This window comes from Homo sapiens, chromosome X (assembly GCF_000001405.40).
Source record: "Homo sapiens chromosome X, GRCh38.p14 Primary Assembly".
NCBI classification, from domain to species: Eukaryota; Metazoa; Chordata; class Mammalia; order Primates; family Hominidae; genus Homo; species Homo sapiens.
Window position 1 is genome coordinate 71,696,989 of NC_000023.11, and position 6,985 is coordinate 71,703,973.

Consider the following 6,985-nt stretch of genomic DNA (forward strand, 5'->3'; position numbering starts at 1 on the left):
CGCTGAAAACAGCCTCCCGAGAATGCGGTTTGAGTGCTTTTACCAGGCCACAGGTGTCTCATGACCCGACCTCAAAAAGGCCATCTAGTGGATGTTTGTGGTCTAACAAGCCCTTTCAATGAATACTTGGCGGACAGATGCTGGGGCGGAGTCTCTTAGAAGAGCTGCCCCCGGCCCCCCTCAGCTGGATTTGTCTGAGAACTCATTCTTGGCGTTCACTGCAAGCTATAAGCTCTGCAAGTGGTGACCCCGACGTGATCGCCTTGAAGTTACGCGTGAAGGAGGAGAGCTCATTACTTTTCGGGGAATCCTGGTAAGGGACAGTCCTGACTCCCATCAGGAGGACGGGACCCATGCGTAAACTATCGCGGGTTGGGTTATCATGGGTCAGGAAATGACCAAAGAACAGAAAGTATTTTTTAAAACAGTGCAACAGCTACTTAAGGCTATCCAGTGCACTGTAGAGCCTGGAGCTCTACACAAGCTTATGCTTTTAATTTGGCAGAAATGCCCTTGGTTTCCTGATCAAGGAACCTTAGATTTAGGGTTATGAGAGCAGGTAGGTCGCTGCCTGAAAAGAGGATATGAGCAGGGTCATTTTACTAATGTTACTATTTTGACCACCTGGGCGCTGGTACGCTCTGCGTTGTATCCTCTTTATCTGCCAGATCGTGGTTAGATCGCCCATTATCTCCACCTGAAAAGAATTCAGAAGATTTGAAGGGAGAGATTCCTCTCCCCACTTCATTCCGTTCTATGGGGAATAAGGAAGAGGTTTTTTTCTAGTGAGGACAAACAGGAACCAGAACAGTGGTTGGGGGGTGGGGGTGCTCCTCTCTCTACCTCATTCCCTTCTGTAGGGCATAAGGAGGATTTTTTTTTTTTTTTTTTTTTTTAGTGAGGATAAGGACGGACGGGAGCCTTTTCCTCCCCCTGTAGAAAAGCCATTGCCCTTCTTTCCTCCACCCTTAAAAGGACCTGCATTTGTTGGCCCTGTTCAGCCAACAGCGCCTTCCATCCCCCTTAAGGAGATTGGAGGCCGCCCAAGGGACGGCTCTTAGATAAGACCCCCGGTCAGCGAACATCTGTATGATCTGTATGATTGGGTGGCTGCGTCTCCTCGACTAACTTCCCTGCTGGAGGGGTGCGTCCAGGAGGGAAGGAAAGTGGCTGATTATGATTGTCTTCCTAATATGCAAGTTCCCATTTGCTACTTCCAGCATCAGCCTTTCTGGCCTTGTCTTTTTTCTGTTTCACTGGAGTAAAAGGGGAAGTTGCATGCTGCCTCCTGGGTTTTATCCCAGATAGCTCTAGCTTTCTTGCTGCCCACAGAGGCCTGGGGCAGGAGAGTTGCTGAGATGCCATGGAGTGCACACTTGGTCACTGGCAGCCTGGGCAGGTTGCCCCTTTCTGGGTTTGTGGTGACGGAGGGAAGGCCAAAAGGCACAGACCGAGTCCCCGGGTGGCTGCAGGCAGCTCCAGCCCAGTCCTGAGGATCCGCCTCACCATGGTCACGTGCCTTAGTAACTGTGCCCAGGAAGTGGCCTGCTGCTTGCCGTGCTGCTGCTTTTCCTACTTCTGCCCTTCCCTGCCACTCCTCACATGTCTCAGTTGACGAGCAATTCCTTGTCTTCCCTGGCCCCCTAGGGAAAGGGCTGAGAAATAGTCCATGTGCACCCGGACCTTACTAGCCTAAGGTGGGCAAAGGAGTGTGGAGCAGCCCGGAGTACAGAGCCCTGGAGGAGGAGCCCACTAATAAGGGGCGCTCTCCCATAGCCATATATTAAATGCTAACTAGACTGAGGGGGACGAGCTCTGCCAGCTGCTGTCATCTTCAGAAGATAGACGCAGCAGTAAGGAGTGTTTGTTTTGCTTTTTTACAAAATGTTTAAAAACACTGTGGTTAAGAAACTTCAAAGCAGACCCTGTGCTGCATGTCTGCTCCTCCCCTGAGCCTCTCTGCTTGGGGGTGGTAAAAATAATAAAAAGCCCAGTATATTTTCAGTACCTCACCTAACAGGGTTGGCTGCAGGCGTAGGTGGCCTAGAAGATAAGGGGAGTGTTTTTCTCCCAGCCTGTTACCTTCTTGCCTCCAGCCTCCGCACTTCCACACACAGTTTACCACCCGGTCATTCTCTGGCCTCTTACTGCCGCTTGTACTCTTCCTTCCTTCCTCTCAGGGTAAGGACAGCAACAAGTGGCAGGCTATTAAAAAGAGAAGCTGCCTAAGGGGCCCAGAACGAATAGAAAGAAACTGGCCACAGCCCTACTTTCCCAAGCTCACTTCTAAGACATTCCAGCTAAAGGCTGATGCAGGAAAATGGCTAACACCAAAGGACATTTTAAAAAGCTTTTTTTTGTTTTCTTTTCTTTTTAACACACTTAAGCTAACTCAATGCAGGTTTATTATCCTGGCGACTTGCAGTCACTTTCTAATGGCTTTCAAGGGCCAAAATATAGTAAAAATCACTTAAAATATCCATCCTTTCCATGCCTTAGTTTAACAGGTAGGCTTTATCTTTTGCCATTTCGGTATTTTATATGTTATGTACCTGTCTCATAATCCCTCTAAACTTATACAAAAGACTACAGATATAATAGCTTCTCTTCTCATAAAAGGACGCCAACGTTGCGTCCAGCTGTCAGGATAAGACCCTGCTACTCTTTTCCTACCTTTAAGCAAGGAACAATTTCACACTCTCTTAGCTTGTGATCTTGATTGGCAAGTAGCAATGGCTGTCTTTATTGGTAATATCAGCTTTCATTTACCAGCCTCTAAGCTCCTGAACTTTTTACAAACTGTACCTGTTTAATTTGTATGTATTGTTGTCTCTGAGCCTTTACTTCATGCCACCACTGTCTTTACAGATGGTTAAAAAAAAACCCAAAAACTGAAAAAGCAGCTATAGTGTGGCAAGATGCCATGCAGAACTGGCAGTACAAAATCCAGGAGCATTTTAAAAACTATGCAACAGGCGGAATTAGGTGCCCTGATATTGGCCTTACAAACTTTTCCTCACCAAGACATAAATATCGTTGGTGATTCCGCTTATGTGGTGTATAGTATTACTCATTTAGATCTTGCACATGTGAAGGGCATTACTAATAAACCCCTATTAGCTTTGTTTCTTGCAGCGCAAGAGCTCCTCTGTGCCTGTCATCACCCTCTTTACATCACACATATTCGCCGTCATTCTGGGCTACCTGGTCCTTATCAGAAGGGAATGCTTGAGCTGATGCTCTGGTACGACCACAGATGTGCTTTGCAAATTCTCCTGCTTTTTTGCAAGCTCAAGCTGATCATGTTGTTTTTTCATCGGAACGCCCGCCGTCTTAAACAACAGCTTCATTTGACACTTACTCAAGCTTGCATGATTATTAAAACTTGTCCTAATTGCCAACAGCATTCTCTTTCCCCCTTTTCCTTAGGGCTTAGTGCCAACCTACGAGGTCTGGTGCCTAATGCTATCTGGCAAACTAATGTCACTCGGTGTCCACCCTTTGGACGTTTTAAATTTCTCCATGTTACCGTGGACACATATACAGGCCTAATACATGCTACCTCCCAGACAGGAGAAAAAACTAAAGATGCAATCGCTCATTTGTTTAAATCTATGATAACTCTAAGCCTTCCACACACTATAAAAACTAATAATGGACCTTCCTATCTTAGTGCTCGATTTACATATGCATTGCAACTTTGGCACATGCAACATAAAACTGATATTCCTTATAACTCAACCAGTCAGGCCATTGTTAAACGAGCTCATCAAACTCTTAAAGTATATCTTAATTTAAAAAGGGCGGGGGGGAATATGGGGCTCTCTTCTAGAGAACAGGACCAGTCGTTGGAGAACCAACCAACAATGATGGTGATGACTCGGAAGGCACCTGACATCACCTGGGGACAGCTAAAGAAATTGAATCAACAAGCATCTATCCAGCTTGCCGCCGTGGAAGCCCCTGCAACTGCAGACAATCGGTTTCTTACATATCTGGTGGCAATTGGGGAAACTTCTGAGAAAGTAAGACAGACATGGATGTTGGGGTGGCAGGTAATTCTTGTCCTTTGCTAAGTGGGATCAGCTTAAGGACATGTTTATTGGAGTCATGTTCTAAATCCCCCTGTTTTTAATGTTATTACATGGTGGGATGCTGACCCGCCTTTGTCATCTAATGATACTTCTTGGGCAGGAGGCCGATGGATGCCTCTGTCTTACCCCGTAACTGAAAATTTGGGATGGATTCAACTTAATTACTCCTCGATTTTATTGTCTAGTAATCCCCCTCTTTGTTTTTCCACAATAGCACATGATAAGTGTGTTACTCTCATCCCTCAGGAGTATCTTTACTATCAGCCTAAAAGGGATGCTAAGCTTGCAAACTTGACCTTTATTTCTACTATTACCACTAATCTTACTGAGGTCTCTAATGAAGCTACACAAGTGCCTGATCTTCCTATATGCCGTCCGAGTAGGGACTGGCGATAAAAGTTTGAGGCCGTCCAGTGGTCGCCGTGCAGACAGCCTGCTCCACGTCAAGGGCCTCTGTTTGATAATGGCACCTTACTTGATTGGGGTCCCCGTGGTAATCTTATGTCTGCAAATCAGACTATTGGACTTGGGAGTCCCTCCAGTAGTCCTATTACCTAGTCAGAGTATGGGCTTTCAGGACCAGTATTACAAGTGAGAGGGAAACAAGCTTTAAGCCCTGCTCATACCCAAATTTGGAGATTAGGATTTCCTTTTTTTGAACGGGTTCTTTCACATGGTGAGTATATTACTGGCGGTGGCAACCATACCCTCTCTTTGCATAATAATGTTACTGACACAGTCCTGATTTGTACCACGCACCCTTATATACTTTTGTTTGGGCAAGGTGTTCCTAACATAGAGCAGAATCAATCTTTTTATAGTATTAAAGTCTCTTCCAGTAGTTGGTATGCTGCATGCTTGTCCATCGAAACATTACACAGTTGGATATAACCTATGTCATGATCTTAAAATGGCGTGCAGAATTGTGGCTGCCTGTAAATTTAACCTGGAGCTGAAAAGGAGATTCCACCCTGCAGCTATTTAGAAAATCACTATCTCATACTCGGAAAAAAAAAAAAAAAAAAAGATTCCTGGCCACTTTAATTGCCTTTTTAGTCTCAGCTATTATTATATTAGCAACTGCTGCTACTGCAGCTGTTTCTCTGACAGAATCTATTCACACAGCCTCAGTGGTGAACCACATGGTGTATAATGTAACCCGTGAATTTCAAGAACAGGTAAATATAGATAAAACCATTCTGTCTCGCCCGGTCTCTTGAAGCCGCTGTTGAATAACTGGGGAATCAGCAGCAGGCATTCATTACCCATCAAAATTTACATTGTTGATTGGCAATATAATTCTATCTGTGTCACGCCTCTGCCATATAATAGCTCCCAATATGCTTGGGAGAGAGTGAAAGCACATCTGCAAGGGGCTTATCACGACCATTTGTCTTCTCAAATTTCCATTCTTGAGTGTGAATTAAAGAAACACCTTGAAGAATGGTCGCAGCAATTACAAACAAGTATCCTTCAGCAATTACAAGAAGGCTTTCAATGGTTAAACCCGAACACTTGGTTGTCTGGGTTAAACATACGCATTTGGGTGATGGCCGCTGTACTTATTCTTTTTTGTATCTGTTTGCTAGGCACTTGCAGATGGCTCTGTGCTGCCACCCGACGCATCTATGACCAGGGAAGAATCATGGAAGCTTACCTTGCATTGGATGACCAGCACGCTATAAGAATTAAAGAAGGGGGGAATATGGCGGGGTGCACGACAGCATATTCAAGCTTATGTACAAGGCGTTTGAGGTCGGGGCATGGAAACATACTGAGGCACTGTGTGTATGTTATTTGTGCATGAGAATGAAACTCCTTGACCCTGAAAACAGGACGGGGAGTGGAGTGTGTGGTGTGATAAGGAACGCTGAAAACAGCCTCCCGAGAATGCGGTTTGAGTGCTTTTACCAGGCCACAGGTGTCTCATGACCCGACCTCAAAAAGGCCATCTAGTGGATGTTTGTGGTCTAACAAGCCCTTTCAATGAATACTTGGCGGACAGATGCTGGGGCGGAGTCTCTTAGAAGAGCTGCCCCCGGCCCCCCTCAGCTGGATTTGTCTGAGAACTCATTCTTGGCGTTCACTGCAAGCTATAAGCTCTGCGATGGGCCCTGAAAAAAAAAAATCGATACTACGATGACTCTCATATGTATTTCTTCAGCCCAGATCCAGACCTTTGTCTACTCAGCTTCTCCACGTGGATACCTAATAGGCATCTCAAATTTAAATATCCAAAACCAAACTCCTGACATTAAACACAAGAAGCAAGAAATATGAACATATTTTCTGATTCCACTAATATAAAAGTACATAACAGTCAACACCAAACCATATTATTCTTATTTCTTGAATTGAACTTTTATTTTAAGTTCAGAGGTACATGTACAGGTTTGTTACATAGGTAAACTTGTGTCGTGGGGGTTTCTTGTAGAAATTGTTTCGTCACCCAGTGATTAAGCCTAGTACCCATTCGTTATTTTTCCTGCTCCTCTCCATCCTCCCACCCTCCACCGTCCAATAGGCCCCAGTGTGTGTTGTTCCCCTCTTTGTGTCCCCGTGTTCTCATGGTTTAGCTCCCACTTGTAAGTGGGAATATGCGATATTTGGTTTTCTGTTCCTGCATTAGTTTGCTAAGGATAATGGTCTCCAGATCCAACCATGTTCCTGCAAAGGACCTGATCTCATTCTTTTTTATGGCCGCATAGTATCCCGTGGTGTATATGTACCACATTTTCTTTATCCAGTCTACCATTGATGGGCATTTAGGTTGATTCCATGTCTTTGCTATTGTGAATAGTGCTGCAATGAATATACACGTGCACGTGTCTTGATAACAGAATGATTTATTATATTCCTTTGGGTATATGCTCAGCGATGAGATTGCTGGG

At 44.9% G+C, this 6,985-nt stretch overlaps 1 long non-coding RNA gene across 1 annotated transcript; it reads left to right on the plus strand.

Annotated features, from left to right (window-relative positions):
* Positions 1–207: 207 nt before the first annotated feature.
* LINC00891 (long intergenic non-protein coding RNA 891) lies at positions 208–6,418 on the plus strand. The gene is made up of 3 exons (NR_034005.1): positions 208–313; positions 3,833–4,055; positions 5,684–6,418. It is a non-coding gene; the product is annotated as a long intergenic non-protein coding RNA 891 (long non-coding RNA).
* Positions 6,419–6,985: the final 567 nt, after the last annotated feature.